Below are 21,331 nucleotides of genomic sequence, written 5' to 3'. Positions count from 1 at the left end.
TTCTCTTAAAAATTAGGAAATGAAAGTAAGCTTTTGCACTAAAAATACTTGATAAAAACAATCAAATCTTTTTTGAAACAAGAGGAAAGACAGATGGAGATAGGTAGGGGATGGATGGATGAATGAACAGGTGAATGGGTGGGTAGATGGATGGATGTGTGGTGGATGGATGTGTGGGTATATGGACGGGTGGATGGATGAATGTGTGGAGGGATGGTTGGTTGGGTGAGTAGATGAATGGGTGAAGAGATGGCTGGCTGGCTGGCCGGATGGGTGGATGGATGGATGAATGGAGGGACAGAGGGAGAAATGGATGGGTAAATAGATGGATGGATGATGAATGATGGATGATGGATATGGATAGGTGGGTGGATGGATGAGGGATGGGTGGAAGGAGGAATGAACGGGTGAATGGGTGAAAAGATGGCTGGCTTCCTGAATGGATGGGTAGGTGGATGGATAGATGGGTAGTTGGAAAGATGCGTGGATGGAGGGATGGATGACTGGATGAACAAGTGAATTGTTTGATGGATGGGTAGATGGATGGAGGGATGGATGAATAGATGAGCAGGTGGATTGTTTGATGAATGGGTGGATGGATGGACGAACAAACAGGTAAAGTGATGGATGTATGGGTGTGTGGGTAGATGGATGCTGAATGATGGATGAGGGATGGATGGGTGGATGGATGCTGGTTGATGAATGCATAGATGAGTGAATAGATGGGTGGATGGAGGGATGGATGGATGGACAGGTGAATGGGTGAATAGATGGGTGGCTGGCTGGATGGATGCATAGACAAATGACGGATGGGGTAGATGGATGGATGAATAGGTGAGTTGGTGGATGGATGAATGGGTGGGTGATTGGATGGATGGATAGAGGGATAGATGGATGGATGAACAGGTAAACTGGTGGGTGGATGCAAGGATGGGTGGGTGAGTGGGTGGGTGGGTGGATGGATGGGTGGCTGGCTGGATGGATGCATAGACAAATGATGGATGGGGTAGATGGATGGATGAATAGGTGAGTTGGTGGATGGATGAATGGGTGGGTGATTGGATGGATGGATAGAGGGATAGATGGATGGATGAACAGGTAAACTGGTGGGTGGATGCAAGGATGGGTGGGTGAGTGGGTGGGTGGGTGGGTGGATGGATGGATGGGTAGGTGGGTGAGTGGGTGGGTGGATGGATGGGGTGGGTGGGTGAATGGATGGATAGGTGGATGAGTGGATGGATGGATGGGCGGGTGGGTGGATGAGTGGGTGGCTGGCTGGATGGATGGATGGGTGGGTGGGTGAATGGATGGAGAGATGGATGGGTAAATAGACAGATGATGAATGATGGATGATAGATGGATTGATAGATGTATGATGGATGGATAGATGGGTGAATGAATGGATAGATGAACAAGTGAATTGGTAGATTAATGTATGTTTGGATAGATGGTAGGTCAATAGATAGAGGGATGGATGGATGAACAGATGAATTGGAGGATGGATAGATATATGGATGGGTAGATGTGTGGGTGGATGGGTGGATGGAAGGAAGGAAGGAAGGCAGGCTGGAGGGATGGATGGAGAAATGGATGGATGAATGGAAGGATGTGTAGGTGGATGATGGATGGATATATAGATGAATGGTTTGCTGGAGAATATTCAGCAATTGCAATAGCTCTGATTAATGAACACTCTCTTGGAAACTTGCCAAGTCTGTGCAGGGAGCTGCCTGGCTAAGCAGGAAAAGAAGGCACAGGGCCATGATTCTGAAGTGGAATTCAAGGAACCCAGTATCTCCCTCAAGGAGCCTGCTCTTCAGCTTATGGAAGCCCTCCTAAGCTTGAGGGGGTAACATTAACTTTTCTCCTTTATGGTTGATTTTCCTTCAGATTCTTACAGGTGTTCACTGGCCTTACGAGTCATATATGAGAGGACAAACATGGAAGTGCTTGGCATCCCGCCTGTGGGTGGAAGGATGGGCACATGAACTTTTCTAAATCTCTACTTCTGTCTGACCACCTCCACTCTCCATGGAGATGTGGCTGAGCCTAAGGTCTACTTTCCTCTTCTTCTGGAGAGATAGAACTGAGGGTTTGATTTGGGTCACAGTCACCCCTACTTGGAGTAAAATCTGCATTTGCCAGCTCCCTTTCATCTAGGTGTGGCCAGTGGATCTCAGCTAGAAGGTTAGGTATGTGCCTTTGCTCCTTCATTTCTCTTTCTCATCCCTGCTCTTGGAATGCAGATGTGATGGCCGGAGCTGATGCTACACCATGGTCCAAGAGGTGACCTGGGAATTTCAAGAGGGGAGAAAGGAGGGCTTCATGGATGAGTCCCCATATTAGCCCCGACCTGCCTGCTTTCACATTTTTATATGAGAAACAAATGTACCATGTTCTTCAAGCGGTGGTAATAAGAGCTGGTGCCAGCAGAGGCAGCAGTCCAGGGCCACTGCCCATGCCTCCGTACCCACTCCAAGTCAATCACTGGACATACTTTTTAACAATCTTCTTTCTACGCTTTGTGAATTTTGGAAATTCTTCCATACAGATTTGTTACTCCTTACTTTAAAATGTTCTTCTGTGGCTTACTAAACACTATGGATTTTTTCTTTGAAATATTTGCCGTCTGAGTGATGTAAGCTTGCTGGAGTCAGTCTCACCGTGATGTGGTGTGTAAAGCCAGCGTCGTGTCATCTATGTATCAGCCCCCGGCAGTTCCCCCTTCATTCCCTAACCTTTTACCTATTCACGCACTCACTGAGCAGATTGTTTTAAACATCTGCTTCCGAAAGGCACGTGTCAGACACTAAGAACAGTGCACAAAGATGTGTGGTTCTTGCCCCCAACACGTGGGACTCTCTCAGCCAAGGAGTGGGAGGGAGCAGTTATCCAACAATTTCAGGACGAATGGCTCTCCTACAAACTCGGGATCGGGGCAGCTTCATCCACATTCAGAAAAGGATGCTCTTCTCACCCAAGTTGATTCTGAAGTCTTTGGTGAGTTATGGAATATTTGATCTCTTATTGTTGTAGTTTTTCAACCAAAAAAAGAAAGAAACCATGATTTGACCAAGAAAGAACTGTGGGGAAAAAGCACCTCAGTGTAAAATAACAATCTATGACCAACTAATCCAGCTGGATTTTTTCTGAGTAAGATTGTTCTTTTTCTCTTTTTAAAAACAAAACTCATCTCGCATATATCTGCTCTCACTTTCTCTGTGGGTCCGAGGGAACTCCTCTGTGAGACAGAAAATTAGATGACAGTTTTTTCAAACCCCTTGTCCCCGATTATTAGTTTGTAGGATAAGTTCCCAAAAACCACAGAGGGGACAAAATATAAAGTGTAGTTTCCTACTTTCATTTTCACTTTCAGTGTTATATAATTTTATATCTTCCTTTGCTTATAGCTCCTTAAGAACCTAAGCATCATGATATGTTCTTAATTTGTACCATTTTCTACCACTTAATATGGTGATCGTCGGTGACGATGGTCTGACGGTTTGGGGGTTTCTTTTAAACATGTGCTCCCTCTTCTGGTTGAATGGATGCTTCAAACTGGAATGAAATCAAACACCTGTGCATCTTTTGTGCATCTTTGATTCAGGCCATTGGTATTTGTTAAAATCATAAGGGATTTTGAAACAAAGATGATAGAGAAGAGGCCTCTACCAACTTTTAACAATCACCGGGAGACATAGACTCTGGCATGCTCTTTTGTAAATTTCCCCTTCTTTCTATGTTGTGAGAAGACGGGCTGATGTGAAAAACTTTCACAGCATCAAACAGGCACATCTGATGTCTTTAGCAATGACGTACAGACCCAGGTGGGGTTTTGTGTGGGTAAAATCACCGCAGAGATCCTAGCAGAGACCACTCTGTCATCTGCACACCTTCCTGTCATTTGTACACCTTTGTGGTGTTTGCTGGGATCTCTGTGCAAGGTGCAAGGTGACAGTCCTATTTCAGGATTCCGTCTGTGTTTACAAACTGGTAACTTCTAAAACCTTCTCCGTGGAGGCGATTGTTATTCTAAGTGGAAAGATCTTGTTAAAATGGGGCTCTTCCTCCCCTGCCCACCTGGGACCATCTGGAGTGGGGGGAGCAGACCCACTGGTCTTTGCAGCATCTGAGGTGCTCCATGGGGGGCCCAAGGCCTCACTGAAATTTAAAGGAGGAGTCTTAGTCATCAGGAATAAATTAACTTTTGTTTACTGTGTGTAAGGCAGCAGAGAAATAAACAATACTTTTTTAAAAAATAGACTTTTTAAAGTATATAAACTTCTCATACTGGTGTTATGTGGGTAAGTTTAAGTTACCCTGAAAATATATTTATTTGGAATAACTTTTACTGGTGCTATATAAATGGGGTGCTACTGTATCTTCCTTAAAACTTGAATTTTTTTCCATAGTTTCTCATAGTTTCAAGATTTCTTCATTGCCTGTTAGCCTAAATGCACAGTGGGCAGGACAAAACAGAACTGATGTTTGTAGAAGTAGCTGGTCAGTGGTGTTTCTGAGGTTTTGAGTAAATCCATCCATCTTGGAATTCTTACTTTTTCAAGTGTAGAAATGATGTAGTGTGTACCCCACTGGGAACCACCCAATGCTGTTAACACACTTTTAAACACAGGTTATTTGTGTGTCTGTGGGTTCACTCTCTAGATGTCTCTGTAGCACCTACAACGTCTGAGGCCTGAAGTAGGTGCTGAGCTGGTGGATGGGTGAGCAGAGGAAGGAAAGGACGGACCTGGAGGATCCTGGCCCCCCAGGATCTCGTGGTAGTGGAGGAAAATGAACTCCGTCCTCCCGTGTTGAGGCTTTACCTTGTGCTGAGCTTGCTGAGGGCTGCTGGGGATGCCGGAGTAAGCAGGGCAGTTCACACAGGCCCCTGCCTCCTCCACAAGGACAGGGACAAGATGAAGTGCTCTACGGGGTCCTGCAGGGGCATGGCTGGAAGTGAGGGTGGAGGGTCTGGGGCAGGCAAAGGCCAGCCTGGTCTTGAAGGATGGGCGGGAGACAGTGCCTACTCAGTGGGTTTGGCTGGTGCCCATGGTGGGGCAGGATGGCATGGGGAATTCTGGGAATGGCGTGGCGTAGATCAGTGATGATGAGTGTGGAAATCCAAGAGTTTCAAGTGTGCAGTGAGTGTGTCATTAGCAATGCTCATAGATCCAAATCAGAAATTTAAATGCTTGGTTGGTGTTACCTCGTGTGCTGTTTCCAACAAAGCTCAAAGATTGATCTCTTTATCATGTGCTATATACCCAGAAAGAGCTGTGCCCAGGCAGGAAGGAGGTTTGGAACTCCCAGGATAAGCTTTGCTTTTTGGCCAGAATTTAAATGTGTCCTTATACTCAGCTTGATGTCGTGGTTTTTATATTAAGTGGGAAAATTTTACTCATCTAAGATTTTTGATTAAGATTATCCAATTATTAAGAATCCTGGCCTTATCATTGGAAACATTTTATCTATTATATTTTTAATATGCTGTTATTTACAAATCACATATACCAACATTTCTCTCATTTGCGGGTTCTGCTTGTACATGCTGAATCGGCTTCATTTGCATTTAAAATAAGACACTATCTTTCCCATGGATAAGAACAAGTTGCTATGTAGAATGAAGACTTCTTTTGGGAAATTCTTGGCAAAGAACCTAGCTGAGTGGTGACGGTTAATAAATAGCACGTATTGTGTATAATCGTGCCTCAGAACTGCTTGCATTTGAATTGGGTGGAAGCAGATTTGATCATTGATCAGAGCGTTTTCAAGTCCGACCTGGAGAGTGAGATGGTGAAATGTCTGAAGCGTCGCCTTGTGCATGGGAACCTTTGCAGGTTCACTGAGGGGGTCGGTCACGGGCACCAGGTGGGGCCTCCTGGGGCTCTGTTCGTTTGGACAAATGAGAAGAATTCCTGCTATGCCTGGTGGAACTGATCACATAGGAAGCTCTGTGAGTGCAGTGACCTCGGGGAAGTGCAGGGAGTGCGGGGAGCTAGAGGCAGGAAGAGCATCTTGGAAACAAAGGTGAAAGGAGAAAGCCTGTGTCTCATTTCAGAAGAAGTCTGAGTATATCAACGTGATAAAATTGAACAGTAAACATTTACTCACCACATTTAGTAGCATATGTACTTAGTAAAACTTTTTAAAAAACAAACTTACAATGACTAGACCATGAGAAAGACAGACACGTGCGTGGAAGAGAAGATAGAAAGAAAACGGTGATACTAGAGTCACTGAAATTCTAAACATTCGTTAGAGGCCCGCATGCGCCAAGCGCTGTGTGAAGATAAATCACAACGTGGCCCTGAAGGTTTAAGGCCCCATGGAGACACGTCACTGCTGCCTGCTGGTGGGGGGCAGGCTGCTGCTTTTGGAATGACTTCCTTTATTGTTCAGGTGCAATTTGTAAAATAAATAAGAATCAGTGGAAGACAAAAATATGAAATAAATGCTAAGCTGCTCTTTGATAGTGAGAAAGCACCTGAGGGTGTTTCCGCCGTGTAAGCCGCCACCACGCGCGCGGGACAGGTTCATCTGTTTATGAGGAAGGACAGAACTGAGTTGAAATGCACAGACCTGGCGGGGAGCCCCCGCGGCCTTCTCTGTAAACAAAGCCCTGCGTTTTGGTGTCTCACTCCTGTTTTCTTTCTCCTGAAAATGAAAATAAGAATGGGCAATTATTCCATATTTTCCCATCATGCAATCAGTAGAAATTTTGGTGGGTGTAATCATTGATTCATGGATCCGTTCATTCCTCAGAACCCATCAGGCAGTGTGTATGCACATGCCCACACACATACACGTGCAATGCACACCCCACACACAGCACACCCACACACACTCACACATGTGTACATGTACACACCCACACACACAGCACACCCCCACACACAGCACACCCACACCCACACACAGCACACCCACACACAGCACACCTCCACACACACCCACACCCCCACACACAGCACACACACTCACACGTGCACAAGTACATACCCCACATATACACAAAGCACACCCACCTACACACCCACACCCCCACACACAGCACAGCCACACACACCCTCACACACGTGCAATGCACACAACCAGATACATACACACACGTGCACATGCATGCATCCACACACATGCAGCACACACACACCCACACACCCCCACATGTATATACCCACACACATACAGCACACCCACCCACACACAGCCACACACAGCACACCCTCACACATAGCACAGCCACACACACCCTCACACACATGCAATGCACACACCCAGATACATACACACACATGCACGTGCACACAGCATAGGGACCAGGCTGACTGTGATACTTTTCTTTCTAGCCCCTTCCTGTCCCCTTCTGTGTCTTCATGCCTTCATCAGATGCACCTGGCGCTTCCTCCACAGCAGGGCCACATCTCATCACCACCGGCCATCGTCCGCTCTCTGCTCCCTGTGGGAGGTGCCCTGTGAGGCCCCACTGCCCTCCGTAGTCCCTGCGTCTGGGTCCCCTCCATCACTGTCACACCCTGTGATCACTCTCCCCTTGTCCTCTCTCCTTGATGTGGCCTTGGTGTTGGGTGGGCTCAGGTGAGGTTTACGAGAAGCAAAGGAAATGTTAGGGCCAGGACACCTCCTGCCTCTGATCCCTCGTCCCCTGCTTACCCTTCCTGCCCACCCCCAGCACCAGCCACACCCCGCACTGCCGCAGCTCCACCTGGGATGGGCTGACGTGTGTTCCCCAAGTTCACCTGGGAAGCGCCAACACCCGGGGCCGCATAAGGCGACTGTATTTGGAGAAAGTGTCTTTCAGGAGGCGATTGAGGTTATGTGAGGTCGTGGGGTGGGCCTGGCTCCAGCAGGACTGGTGTCCTTGAAAGAAGAGACACTGGAGAAGAAGCCACGTGAGGACACAGGAGGAGACGGCCGCCCGCCAGCCTGCGCAGTCTCAGGAGAAACCGAAGCCCGGACCTCAGACTTCAGCCCCCAGAACTGTGACGGAGTACATTTCTGTTGTTTGAGCCGCTCAGGCTGTGAGGCTTGTTAGGGCAGCCCTAGGGAGACTAGCAGGCTTCCCGCCAGAGGACCACACAGGAGGCCCTCCTGGTCCAAAATGTCATGACCGCATGATGGAGCTGGGGTGTCCATGGGGTTTCCTGTCTTTGAGACATGATGCGTTACAGGTTTACTTTTGGAAATGTGGGTACAGCCAGGGTGGCCCCAGTCAGACCCAAACAAGTCTCTTGGCCTAAGGGACCCTGGGCCTACCTTCCTCTGAGTGACAAGGACACTCAGCGTGCACAGCCACACCAGGTGGCTCCCAAGCCCTGGCATCTATCTCCATAGGGGTGGGATGGCCCTTAAGGAAGCCATTGCCGTCCACAGCTGCAAAGAAATGAGGTTGTGGAAATGGCAAGTGAGTGATAAGTGTGTCTGCATCCCGGGCGGCTCTTCCCTCGCCAGATCTTTGCCTGGCGCTGGGACTCACCCTTGCTGGGACTCACCGCAGGTGTCCAGCAAGCTTGTGAGGCTCAGGATGGCAGGAGGTCAGCTGTGTTTCTGGGTTGTCAGGGAGATGTTCTGGATGCCAAAAGAAGGCTCCAGGGCCAGACCAGGCTGGCACTGAACTGTACCACCATGGAGGAGCAAACATGATTTGGACTTTCCTTGGAAAAGTTGGTAAAAATCGATGGAGTCTTTGCATTTCCATTCATGCTGCCTATAGGATCTGTCTCTCTAAAAAGGAAAAGGGATGTGAACTCAGTAATTCCACGAGGAACACAGTGTTGGCTGCTTTCTTAGGGTGTCACATCTGCAAAACTCCGTAAGTTGGTTGCAGGTGCCTGTGCTGCCCCAGGAGAGGCAGGAGGAAGGGGCAGCAGGTGCCCCAAGAAGGGAGAGGTTCACAGCAGAAGCCTTGGTGAAAAGGAGCTTTGAACATGTTTATTTGGGCAGTGGCTGCTGCTAGTACCACCTTTCCATCAGATTTGACATGAGCATTCCAAAGAAATTCAGATGCAGGCAGAAACCCCTCAGCCTCTAAGGTTTTACTTTCCTTCATGATCCCATAGAGTTAAAAGGAGCCGTGCAGACTTCCCACTCTGAGTGCACTAGAGACACGCATTTGCACACACGTGCATTTTAGACGCAGTGTACTGAATACTAACAGCATCCACGTAAGATGTGTGCCTCAGCGTGCATGAGGACATTGCTGTGGGAAACCACGGTGGGCCCTTCCTGTCTCTTCTGGGGAGAACCCCTCGTGGGCCACGAGCACCACCTGAGCCTTCTCCAGCTGTGCAGTGACTGACCAGAGGCCTCACCGCAGATGCTTCCTGCCCTGCACCTCCCCCTGCACCCCATCTTCCAGCTCTCTAAGACAACGTGGACAGCAAAACGCTGCAGCTAATCTTATTTTGTGCATATCAAGTGGGCTTTACTAGCCCCTACTTTTTAAACTCTAGCCAGTGTTAGATTAGTGAATTCCAAACCAGCTTAGGTCTTTTGCTTAGTGACCTTTCTCTTTGCATTTTTTTTTAAAGAAATCAGCGAAAGCCAATAGTAACCTTTCCATATTCGCCACCATAAGCTGCACCCACCTTAAGAGTGACCACGACTGGGTGCGGTGGCTCACGCCTGTAATCCCAGCACTTTGGGAGGCTGAGTTGAGCGGATCACATGAGGTCGGGAGTTCGAGACCAGCCTGACCAACATGGAGAAACCCCATCTCTACTAAAAATACAAAATTCGCCAAGTGTGGTGGCTCACGCCTGTAATCCCAGCTACTCGGCAGACTGAGGCAGGAGAATTGCTTGAATCCAGGAGGTGGAGGTTGTGGTGAGCCGAGATCACACCATTGCACTCCAGCCTGGGCAACAAGAGCAAGACTCCGTCTCGAAAAAAAAAAAAAAATAGTGGCCACACAGCTCAGACCGCAGGTACTTCATGGGTGCCAGGCCGATTTTCTCAAGCCGGAAATGCTGAGGCTTGTGAGGAAAGGGGGAGGTGTGTGTTTCTCCCGCTTCCATCTTACTGTTTATGTATCTATTAGCATTTAGCATTTCTACAACACACTTCATACCCTAAGAGGTTTTAAAATCAGCCATCATAAACATTACCATTATCATGAGAGGAACAGAAACAAGCATTTTAAAGATGAAATTTGGCAAAGTAGAAGAAGATTTTCTAAAACCATTCTTTAAAAATGAACTCAGAGTCACAGAAGTGAAATTTACATGCATTTGCTTGAAGGAGATGGTTTGTAAAACCTCTGGGAATCAAATACTGTCATGAATTTTTTAAAAAATGAAAAATTTAGGAAGAGCAGAGTATAGTGGGATCAATATTTTCCATATAAGCACACATAGCATTATCAGATCCTGAAAATGAAACTGTCAGGAAAGTGATAAGATGTGCCTCTTTCTGTTATCTCAGAGAAATATAATGTAAACAAGCAGCAAACCCAGTGAAAAAGGATTGTTTTGAATTACTTTTTTTAGAGTCCACTAAGGTGTTATTTATAGCAAAGGAATGCATGCAGTTCTTTAAAAATAGATGCTGGTTAATTTTTTAATCTGCTGGTTTTTTAAATATAAAAAACCTAAAACTAGAACCACCACCCAGCTGTGGACACACAGGAAGCATCTGGGAGGGGTTAGGAATAAAATTCGGGTGCCATTGAGGGTAGCTCTGAGTCCTGGGGCCACACAGGAAGTGGGCGGTTCCCTCTCTCATCCTCTGGGATGGGAGGAGGCTAGGATGGCCCCTAGACCCTGCCTACTTCTCTCAGGCAGAAACATCATGTGAAGTCTTCTTTTTGGTGATAAAACCCATTCTTTACTCCCAAATTGGGCACTGGAAGCATTAACAGAGCAATTTTTGCTTTTCCTATCACCTTAGAGAGTCACCAAGTTTTCCAAACGAGGAGCCGAAAAGCAGCCATGGGGGCTGCTCCCATCCGAGAGCCGGAGTCTTCTGGAACTCAGTGAAATGAAACACTGGCCAGGCTCCCAAGGTGCTGACACGTTTCCTATACTGCTATGACAGTAGCAAATGATTTTTCGTAGCTTGTGGAATTGTAAATGAAGTTTGCTGATTAAGTCGGCAACAGTGATGAAATTAATAGATGCTCTCAGAGTCATTAGACAAGCTATTCTTTAAAAAAAGCAGAGGCCCGTTTTACCACTGGCCTTGGCGTGTTGGGAGGTGCCGCCAAGCCCATGTGAGAAGCTCGCCACCACCAAGAAACCTGGATCCCGCCAACCGCAGGGCTGGAGCCCGGATGGCGTGCTTCCCCACCCCTGTCAGTCAGCTCGGGTGGCCACGGTGAAGCCCCACAGGTGGGGCAGACATCCATCCTCTGCAGTCCCCAAGGCCTGGGTCTGGGACGCCTGTGGGCAGGGCTTGTTCCTGGGGCCGCATTCCCTGGCTCACGGTGGCTGCGTCGTGGCCACGTCCTCAGGGGCTGTCCTTCTGTGTAGATGCAGGCTGTGTGTCTCTTCCTCTTCCTGAAGAACACAGGTCCTATTGGATTGGGGCCCCCTCAGGACCTCATTTTTTTTTTTTTTTTTTTTTGAGACGGAGTCTCGCTGTGTCTCCCAGGTTGGAGTGCAGTGGCGCGATCTCGGCTCACTGCAAGCTCCGCCTCCCAGGTTCATGCCATTCTCCTGCCTCAGCCTCCCAAGTAGCTGGGACTACAGGCGCCCGCCAACACGCCCGGCTAATTTTTTGTATTTTTAGTAGAAACGGGGTTTCACCGTGTTAGCCAAGATGGTCTCGATCTCCTGACCTCGTGATCCGCCCGTCTCGGCCTCCCAAAGTGCTGGGATTACAGGCGTGAGCCACCGCGCCCGGCCTTACCTTTACCTCTTTAGAGGCCCTGTCCCCAAGTACAGTCACATGAGGGTTCAGGGCTTCCCCTGTGGATTTTGGGGGACACAGGTCAGCTCATGACAGAAGCCAAACATCTCCTGCCCTCTCCTGTGCTCTTTCCTCCTCCCCTGGATCCAAGCGGCCTGTAGCAGACCCCCACTTGTGCTGCCAAACCCCGGCCAGGACCAGGGCACTCCATCTCCTGCCAGGAGTTCCACAGATGAGATCCAGCCCAGCCGTGTCCACGCCAGGGTGGTCCAGGCCAGCTCCCCACCTCACGGGGCTTGTTGAAGAGCCTTGTGTGGCTCCTGCTCCGTGGACCTGCTGAGCTTTGAGGCAGCCGGGAGTTCCTCCCCGGCAAGTCCATTTCTCTCGCTGCAGCTGACCTGCCCGAAACGTCCTCAGATCTGCTTCCAGGGAGCAGGCCCCGGCCCCAGGATTCCTGGACATTTCCCAGGCTCCCTGACCCCCGTGGTGTCCTTCACATCCTCCTCTTCACCCCTCAGATGAACCCTAAGCTCCAGGGAGGGAGGGGCGCAGTGGGAGCTTTTGTTTTCTCCCTCATCCACACCTGCGGCATTTGGCCCCGTTGTTCCTTCACTGCATGCTGGCCAGGTTGCCATCCGGCTCACGAGGCGCCGTCCACTGTACTGGGGATTCGGGCAACAAAAGTGACTCTCCCCACCAGAGGTTTTAGTTTACAACATTTCCCCTCACCGTGAAACTGGAAGCTTTTTAGGGGCCGAAACTCTGTGGCACTAATTTTTCATATGACCTTCTCCCAAAACACGTCCCTGCCTCTCTCATCCTCCGTAGAACCAACTCTTAATAAAGGGGTGAGTGAGTGACCATCCAGAGCACAGCCTCTGCAGGGGGCGGGTCTCTAAGGCAGCACTCGCCTGATGACCACGCCGTGTTTCCCGCGGGGGCTGCTTGCCTCAAGCCCCCGCTTTGCACCTCAGTTCCCATAAAAGGGCATTTGGTGGTGAGATGTGGCTCCCGCCTCGGTGGGGGGCAGAGCTGGTCAGTGCTGGCCATGGGGGCCACCCCATGTCACCCGAGGTGACTCCAAGGGAAGAGGCACTAAGTGCCATTTCTGAATCTGAAGCTGGCGGCCATCGTCTCCACTGAAACAACGTGATCCCAGGACCTGGAGACAGCTTGGCCAGCTTCCGGCTGGAGGAGGATCTCCAGGAGTCCCAGTGCAGCAGCGGGTGCCTCCGGATGACCTCAAATACGATGCAACCCCATAGTTTACTGAGCACCTCCTCGGTGCCTGGCACGGTTCCGGGTGAGGGCACAACAGCCAGTCACGCAGACTCATGTTCCTGGAAGGCCAGCGGGCCCATGCCTGCTGTTTGTGTATAAACAGATGAAAAGTGTTTGCTAATCTCCCTGAGGCAGTGCCGGGCTCTCAGCACGGATTGGGAGTTGGCATCATGACAGGGCGGTCCTGAGGCTGCTGATGGTTTTCGGCCGTTTTACCATCTACTACACTGCCTGCGTCTGTCTGCATGGTGGGAGCGCCCGTGAGGCTGAAGTGCCGCCCTCCCGGTCCTCAGGTCCCCCTGCTGTGCACGTCCCCAGCCGTGGACTCAGGCCCTGTGGTCCTGAGGGGTCATGGGTATAGGAGGTAGGTTTGGAATCAGCTGTACCTGCTTCCAGATTCTGGCTCTGGCTTTTGCTGCTGCCTGAACTTAGGCAAATTATTTAAGGCTCCAGCTTCCCATTCTTTGCACGTGAACTCTACCTCTGGGTTGCTGTGAGTGTGGAGTGTGGTCCCCTCTGTGACATGCACAGCCAAGAGCAGGCCTGTGGGAGAAGGCCCTCTGCTCTCTACCTGTGGCCGAACCTCAGCCCCACCCTGTACCCCACCTACGGCCAGATCCCAGCCCCCACCCTTCACCCCGCCTGCGGCCCGACCCCAGCCCCACGTTGCACCAGACCTGCGGCCAAACCCCAGCCCCACCTTGCACCCCACCTGCGGCCAAACCCCAGCCCCCACCCTGCACCCCACCTGCGGCCAGACACCAGCCCCACCCTGCTCCCCACCTGCGGTCAAACCCCAGCCCCCACCATGCACCCCACCTGCGGCCAAACCCCACCCCCCACCCTGCACCCCACCTGTGGCCAGACACCAGCCCCACCCTGCTCCCCACCTGCGGCCAAACCCCAGCCCCCACCCTGCACCCCACCTGCGGCCAAACCCCAGCCCCCACCCTGCACCCCACTTGCGGCCAGACACCAGCCCCACCCTGCTCCCCACCTGCGGCCAAACCCCAGCCCCCACCCTGCACCCCACCTGCGGCCAAACCCCAGCCCCCACCCTGCACCCCACCTGCGGCCAGACACCAGCCCCACCCTGCTCCCCACCTGCGGCCAAACCCCAGCCCCCACCCTGCACCCCACCTGCGGCCAAACCCCAGCCCCCACCCTGCACCCCACCTGCGGCCGGACACCAGCCCCCACCCTGCTCCCCACCTGCGGCCCGACCCCAGCCCCACCCTGCTCCCCACCTGCGGCCGGACACCAGCCCCCACCCTGCACCCCAACTTCAGTCATGCTTCCCAGTAGACCTCAAAGCCGAAATGTCAGGCAGCTTCCTGTTAAGAAATAAAGAGGAGGAGGAAGAAGGAAAGGTGTGCAGGGCGTTAGTGGTGACCAGGTGCTTTCATCCCGGCCTCTCCACGGCTTTCACGTGTTGGGTGATTCCAGCTGAGAACCCTCTGGCCTGAAACCAAGCATGGCCCTGGGGCTTTTAAACCCTTCTCTTACGGGCCTTGGCAATTGTTTTTGAAGTGATCACTTTAACCTTTTGTTTTAATCCTCTGGTTATTCCCCTGACTGGGGAATGCAACCTGAGAAGCATCCTTTGGCAAAAGAGAAGTTTTATTAGTGAGGCAAGCAGTTAATTAAAAAAATAAAAACTAGGTTGGGCAAGGTGACTCATGCCTGTAATCCCAGCACTTCGGGAGGCCAAGGCGGGTGGATCATTTGAGGTCAGGAGTTCAAGACCAGCCTGGCCAACATGGTGAAGCCCCATCCCTACTAAAAATACAGAAATTAGCCGGGCATGGTGGCACTCACCTGTAATCCCAGCTTCTCGCGAGGCTGAGGCATCAGAATCACTTGAACCTGGGAGGTGGAGGTTGCAGTGAGCTGAGATCCTGCCATTGCACTCCAGCCTGGGTGACACAGTGAGACTCTGACTCAAAAAATAATAATGAAAAATAAAAAAAAAAAGTAAAAATAAAAACCAGAGGCCAAAGTTCATCAGGTAAACATCTGAGATCAAGTGTGGTATGTCGGAGCTGCGAACCCCAGTCTGCACCCCACCTTTGAGTGGCTGAGATTTAATAAAGTGCAGTGAAGTCTCAGACCCACACCCCCACCTTGATGTTTCCAGTTACGGAACTCGTTATCAGGTGGGCCAGGGACTCGCGGAGAACAGCTGCAGACAGCACCTCTTCCCCCTGGTCTCGTCGTGTGGACGAGTCTCCCGATGACAGGTTTCCTGGAGGCCTCATCTCCGGTGGGTGCCAGCAAGTCCAGCCAGGGAGCAGGTCCCAGAACTCAGGTTCCCAGGCCAAGCTTTCCCCTGCCTGTGTTGGTGGAAAACGCAGGGTAAGTGGGCAAGAGTGAGAGAACACAAAAGCCTTCAGCCGGGTCTTTATTGGGCTGCTTTATCTTTGTGTAGCTCCGTGGCACGTGAAAACGAGAGCGTCTGAGGTTGGTGAGAAATTCGGGCAGCACACGGTGCTCAGTCACCATGAAACTAATTTCACATTGGGAGCTGAGTTGTGAAAACGGTTTTGCTGTTTATTTAAAGGAGATGAGAGTGGACAAGCCGACTAGAACCCCCTGATGGCTTGAGCGAGGGAGAAGGAGGGTTTGTGTTCAGGCAACTAAATCTGCCTTCTCTTCTTTTAGGCTGGAAATAAAAGCCGGTCAGTGCAGGGGTGTGAGGGGCTGGCTGTGGGTTCTCTGGCATGAGGCTCACGTTTACAGGAGGTCCTCTTGGTGGGCATAGTGTAGGGGCCAGGGCGGACCCCTACGGCCGCTCGGAGGAACAGCCAGGATCGGACCCGGGACCGCCCCACACTGTCAGCACTGTAGGGGTCACTGTTGCTGCAGCTCACAGTCCCCTGGCCCCCGGATGCCTCGCACCCCGCACAAAGATGACTTCTCTACCCAGAACACAACCCTCTTACGTGGGGCATGAAGGATGGAGTCCAGCCAAACGTGCTTCAAAATCTCAGAATTACAACTTGAAGTAGAGTTTTTTTTTTTTTTTTTTTTGAGATGGAGTATCTGTCACCCAGGCTAGAGTGCAGTGGTGCAATCTCTGCTCACTGCAAGCTCCACCTCCCAGATTCAAGTATTTGCCTGCCACAGCATCCCGAGTAGCTGGGATTGCAGGTGCCTGCCAACACACCCAGCTAATTTTTGTATTTTTAGTAGAGATGGGGTTTCACCATGTTGGCCAGGATGGTCTCGATCTCCTGACTTCAGGTGATCCACTTGCCTCGGCCTCCTAAAGTGCTGGGATTACAGGTGTGATTAAACATTACATTTACTGAGCTTGAAATGTGAGGTAGCTTATTCGGTCTACATTTAGACTCTGTCCAACACAGCATCTACGTTGGAGGCTGGACACGGGCTCCTCTCACGGCAGAGCTGCTGCTCCTCCGCGTCTCACGCAGGTGGTCTGCTGTCCTCAGCGGATGGATGGCGTGGTCAGAGCCCAGGAGCCTCCGGGCCAGCCCTGACTGCTGCTCCTGGCTCTGAGCTAGTGTTTTAATTCTTTAATTATTTCATGGCTCTTTTCCTATTCCACAGAGGAGTACAAATTAATTATTTGGTAAGGCACTTAATTAAAAGTAGAGCTCTGAGGCTGCCGGGTAAAAGCTGAAGCCAGGCTGCAGCCCGGGCCCTGGGCCTCTCCCTTGGCCCTGCAGTCCTTTTCCCGGGCCCTGCATTCCTCTCCCCCAGCCCCACACTCCTCTCCCCCTCGCCCTGTACTCCTCTCCCCTGCACTCCTCTCCCCCCACCCTGCACTCCTCTCCCCCCACCCTGCACTCCTCTCCCCCCACCCTGCACTCCTCTCCTCTGCACTCCTCTCCCCTGCACTCCTCTCCCCCAGCCCCACACTCCTCTCCCCACCTCCCTGCACTCCTCTCCCCTGCACTCCTCTCCCCCAGCCCCACACTCCTCTCCCCCTGCCCTGCACTACTCTCCCCTGCACTACTCTCCCCCAGCCCTGCACTCCACTCCCCTGCACTCCTCTCCCGTGCACTCATCTCCCCTGCACTCCATTCCTCCGGCCCCACATTCCTCTCCTCTGTGCAGGGGCTGGTCTGGGGGCTCCACAGGGTCCCTATGACCCACTGGTCTCTGCCTGCCCCTCCCTGCACTCCTCCCCCCAGGCTCTGCCCCTCCCTGGCCTCCTCTTTCTGTAGAAACCCGGCTTTCTGTCATGCCTCCCCCCACGTTTATCTGCAGGGACATTCTGGCTGCTGACGTGGCTTTGCCCACCCAGCCAGGCTAATGTGGCTCCCTTCTCCTCCCTGGTCCTTCCCTCTTGAGTGAGGCCCACCTGTGGCCCTTCCAGCCCTTGCAGGGCCAGTGTGGATGGCAGGAATGACTGGCTGTGTGGGAGGAACCTGGGCTCCAGGCGCCAGCCAGGGGGATTTATGGAAAGAGCAGCCCCCTGTCCTGAAGTCAAGGGTCTGTCTCCGTGGCCTTCCCAGGACAGGCAGGAACTGCTGGAGGGGGTCCTGCCCTGTGGGGCCTGCCCCATCCTTGGAGCTGAATGACCCAGGTGCTGTGACCTCAGTGGGAGCCCAGGCCAGGCGGGCCCAGGGGCGCAGTTGCTCCACAGACACAGAGCAAATGGAGCCGCCAGGCAGCCCCGCAGGGCACGTGGGCACTCAGGAGGCAGCTCTGTGCAGAACTGGCAGGCATGACCCAGGCCCCATCAGATGTGCCCCCAACCCCGTCCTCCTGGGGAGGGCAGACACCCCACGTCAGGGGACCTGGGGCCGAGCCCTCCCTGGGCCCCCGTGCCGGCCTCATTGCACTGTGGGACTGCTCCTCATGCCTGTTGAGCAGACAGCAGGACTTAGAGCTTGGTGACAGATGGGCAAGCAGGCGACAGCTGCTGGTTTCCAGAGAAGCTCGTGCCTCCCCACACCCGCCCCGGGCCTAGGATGTGTCAGGGAGGTTGGGTCTCCTGAGGGCCTGGCGTGGGGGAAGATGGCTCAGGTCATACATGGTCCCCTGGGGCAAGGGAAAATGGTTTGCTAGGAGAAGAAAAGATCCATTCTTTATCACTGGATTTGAAACAAAATGACTTTTTTTCTTTGCAAGCACAGATTATTTTCAGGAGCAATAAATGCCTTAAAAAAAGAAAAGCTAGAGACGAAGAAAGCTAGAGAAGAAAGCTAGAAGGTCCCCTGACCCTGTTCTCAGTTAAGGGCTTGTCCACACCAGCCAGAGCAAACCCACACCACCCTCCAACAGGCATGGGGGACCGGCCCTCGGGGTGGTGGGAGCCCCCATGTGCACGCAGGAGCTGCCCGCCTTGGAAGGAAGGGCTCTAAGCCGTGTGAGAGACCAAAGCTCCCCTGGCACTGACTGGCAGGAAAGCAAAGATCTATCTGACCAGTAGGTTCTCTTAGTAATATTTGTTACTGTATGAATGTTTGGGGTCCAAGTGCGGTCTTACTACGTGGATCTGTTGTGTAGTGGTGAAGTCTGGGCTTTGAGTGTAGCCATCACTGAATAACATAGATGGGCCCGAGCGGCGAATTCTCACCCTCCTCTCCCTTCCCAGCGTCCCGGGTCTGCAGCGTCCATTGTCCCATGTGCTACATCCATGCACGCATGTAATTTGGCTCCCACTTAAATGTGTGAATGTGCAGTATTTGACTTTCTGATTCTGCATTGTTTCACTCAAGATAATGGCTCCAGTTCCATCCATGTTGCTGCAAAAGACAGGATTTCATCCTTTTTTATGGCTGAATAGTATTCCATTGTGTGCAAAAGACAGGACTTCATCCTTTTTTATGGCTGAATAGTATTCCATTGTGTGCAACAGACAGGACTTCATCCTTTTTTATGGCTGAATAGTATTCCATTGTGCGCAACAGACAGAACTTCATCCTTTTTCATAGCTGAGTAGTATTCCATTGTGTGGACACACCACGTTTTCTTTATCCATTCATCCACTGATGGACACTTACGTCGATTTCATGTTTTGCTATCGTTCCAGTGTGCATTTCCGAAGGGTAGTCTACTTTTGCTTAAACTTGAGTTTGCCGTAGAAGTCAGATTTCCATGGATGACCCCTCCTTCTGCACCTCCACATGCACACGTGGATCCTCCCCTCTGACAGGAGGTGCTACGCCGCCTGCTCATGTGGACGCTGAGGCAAAGCAGGCTGCCCATGCCCTTTGCGGGGCTGGCAAGCCCTTGGTCCACACCCAGATGCACGTTCAGGGGCTGAAAGGCCCCATCCTACTCTAAGACTGCAGGTTTGCTGCCTTCCAGGAATTTACAATTCATGGCAACAAACCTTGGGGTGTGTTTAACAAATGCTCATTGAATTGGGCATTTTTATCTCCCAGATGTGGCTGGACTGGTGAGATCTCTCCCTGAGTGACAGGCAGGCCTGGAGAGAGTTGGATGAAAATAAAACCAGATAGAAACCGTAGAGTGTGACACAGCGTTTGTAAGCTGGGGACACAGTGTTGATTTAGGAACAAGGAGCTGTAAGCTGGGGACGTGGCATTGATTTAGGAACAAGGAGCTATAAGCTGGGGATGCGGCGTTGATTTTAGGAACAAGGAGTTGTAAGCTGGGGATGCAGCGTTGATTTAGGAACAAGGAGTTGTAAGCTGTGGACACAGCGTTGATTTTAGAACAAGGAGTTGTAAGCTGGGGACGTGGCGTTGATTTAGGAACAAGGAGTTGTAAGCTGGGGACGCAGCGTTGATTTAGGAACAAGGAGTTGTAAGCTGGGGACGTGGCATTGATTTTAGGAACAAAGGAGCTGTAAGCTGGGGACACGGCGTTGAATTTTAGGAACAAGGAGCTGTAAGCTGGGGACACGGCGTTGATTTTAGGAACCAGGAGTTGTAAGCTGGGGACACGGCGTTGATTTAGGAACAAGGAGTTGTAAGCTGGGGACGCAGCGTTGATTTAGGAACAAGGAGTTGTAAGCTGGGGACACGGCGTTGATTTTAGGAACAAGGAGCTGTAAGCTGGGGACGCGGCGTTGATTTTAGGAACAAGGAGCTGTAAGCTGGGGACACGGCGTTGATTTAGGAACAAGGAGTTGTAAGCTGGGGACGCAGCGTTGATTTAGGAACAAGGAGTTGTAAGCTGGGGACACGGCGTTGATTTTAGGAACAAGGAGCTGTAAGCTGGGGACGCGGCGTTGATTTTAGGAACAAGGAGCTGTAAGCTGGGGACACGGCGTTGATTTTAGGAACCAGGAGTTGTAAGCTGGGGACGCGGCATTGATTTAGGAACAAGGAGTTGTAAGCTGGGGACGCGGTGCTGATTTTAGGAACAAGGAGCTGTAAGCTGGGGATGCGGTGCTGATTTTAGGAACAAGGAGCTGTGGGCCAAAGTGGAAGGCGCTCGCTCTAACGCTGCCTCAGATTCATCCCAATGACTGTGGGAAACACAGGCATCTTCCTCTCGCTCCCTGGTCTCTGTCCTTGTCTAAATTCCCTTCCCTAAGATGTGTTGTTTGTTTTCTGCTGGTTATTTTCTGTCAGCTTTAAGAGGAGAAATATGAGGAAACTTTGCTGTGCTGCTTCGTGGATTAAATTAAAAAGGAAGCAGTGGCGGGTTACCATTGCCACCCAGTGTTAAGTGGCTCAGAGCGAGTCACCTGCCCTGACCTGCATCGGTATTTTCTCCTCTAGAAGCAGACCAGTATTAATGGCCTGTAGTGAAGTATCGCTGTGTCAATAATATTTAAAGAGGAGGAAAACAACGTGATACATTAGGTCTTCTCTGTGGGTTTCAAAGCAACACCCAACACACTGGTCACTGACACAGGGACTTTGCGATAAATTATTCAAGCCACAGCTCAGGGTGTAAACTGCAGCCGTGCATTTTGAAATTAGGCAGTAAAATAACAGCATTGTGTATGACTCCAGACACGGGCGCAGGGAGACCCAGTGAGCTCAGTGCATGGGGGGCCACTGACCCCCCTTGGGTTTTGTCTTCCGAGGCCATTGGCATTTTAGGGAGAGATCGTCCAGCTCTGGGCCTGTCTGCTCAATCGACGCTCTCCAGAGAGGCCTTCAACCCCCGTAGGGTCAACACTCATCTCAAATCAGAGATTTGAACTTCCGACCTAGGATGGGTTCTTCCTGCTGTCCTGGACCCGTGCTGGGTTGGGGGTGGCTCTCCAGGACCTAGCTCTGTGGCCCACCCT

General features: G+C 51.4%; 1 protein-coding gene across 10 annotated transcripts in view, besides 6 other annotated features; it reads left to right on the top strand.

Moving 5' to 3' along the window:
• The window catches only part of PTPRN2 (protein tyrosine phosphatase receptor type N2), a 1,048,768-nt gene that overhangs the window by 572,830 nt on the left and 454,607 nt on the right, over positions 1 to 21,331 (top strand). The window lies entirely within an intron of this gene.
• Positions 4,371 to 4,933: an enhancer, noted in NCBI's record as "H3K27ac-H3K4me1 hESC enhancer chr7:157802753-157803315 (GRCh37/hg19 assembly coordinates)". NCBI's record gives its function as "activates a minimal SCP1, AML or CMV promoter by ChIP-STARR-seq in primed H9 embryonic stem cells {active_cell/tissue: H9 hESC(primed)}" and the evidence as "EXISTENCE:reporter gene assay evidence [ECO:0000049][PMID:30033119]".
• Positions 6,167 to 7,146: an enhancer, noted in NCBI's record as "H3K27ac-H3K4me1 hESC enhancer chr7:157800540-157801519 (GRCh37/hg19 assembly coordinates)". NCBI's record gives its function as "activates a minimal SCP1, AML or CMV promoter by ChIP-STARR-seq in primed H9 embryonic stem cells {active_cell/tissue: H9 hESC(primed)}" and the evidence as "EXISTENCE:reporter gene assay evidence [ECO:0000049][PMID:30033119]".
• Positions 7,147 to 8,127: an enhancer, noted in NCBI's record as "H3K27ac-H3K4me1 hESC enhancer chr7:157799559-157800539 (GRCh37/hg19 assembly coordinates)". NCBI's record gives its function as "activates a minimal SCP1, AML or CMV promoter by ChIP-STARR-seq in primed H9 embryonic stem cells {active_cell/tissue: H9 hESC(primed)}" and the evidence as "EXISTENCE:reporter gene assay evidence [ECO:0000049][PMID:30033119]".
• Positions 14,414 to 14,918: an enhancer, noted in NCBI's record as "NANOG hESC enhancer chr7:157792768-157793272 (GRCh37/hg19 assembly coordinates)". NCBI's record gives its function as "activates a minimal SCP1, AML or CMV promoter by ChIP-STARR-seq in naive and primed H9 embryonic stem cells {active_cell/tissue: H9 hESC(naive and primed)}" and the evidence as "EXISTENCE:reporter gene assay evidence [ECO:0000049][PMID:30033119]".
• Positions 14,463 to 14,757: a silencer, noted in NCBI's record as "tiled region #9311; K562 Repressive non-DNase unmatched - State 21:Repr". NCBI's record gives its function as "represses a minimal TATA promoter and a strong SV40 promoter by Sharpr-MPRA in K562 cells {active_cell/tissue: K562}" and the evidence as "EXISTENCE:reporter gene assay evidence [ECO:0000049][PMID:27701403]".
• Positions 14,948 to 15,693: an enhancer, noted in NCBI's record as "H3K4me1 hESC enhancer chr7:157791993-157792738 (GRCh37/hg19 assembly coordinates)". NCBI's record gives its function as "activates a minimal SCP1, AML or CMV promoter by ChIP-STARR-seq in naive H9 embryonic stem cells {active_cell/tissue: H9 hESC(naive)}" and the evidence as "EXISTENCE:reporter gene assay evidence [ECO:0000049][PMID:30033119]".

Source organism: Homo sapiens, chromosome 7, assembly GCF_000001405.40.
Source record: "Homo sapiens chromosome 7, GRCh38.p14 Primary Assembly".
Classification (NCBI taxonomy): domain Eukaryota; kingdom Metazoa; phylum Chordata; class Mammalia; order Primates; family Hominidae; genus Homo; species Homo sapiens.
This window is presented reverse-complemented; position numbering and strand designations above follow the sequence as displayed.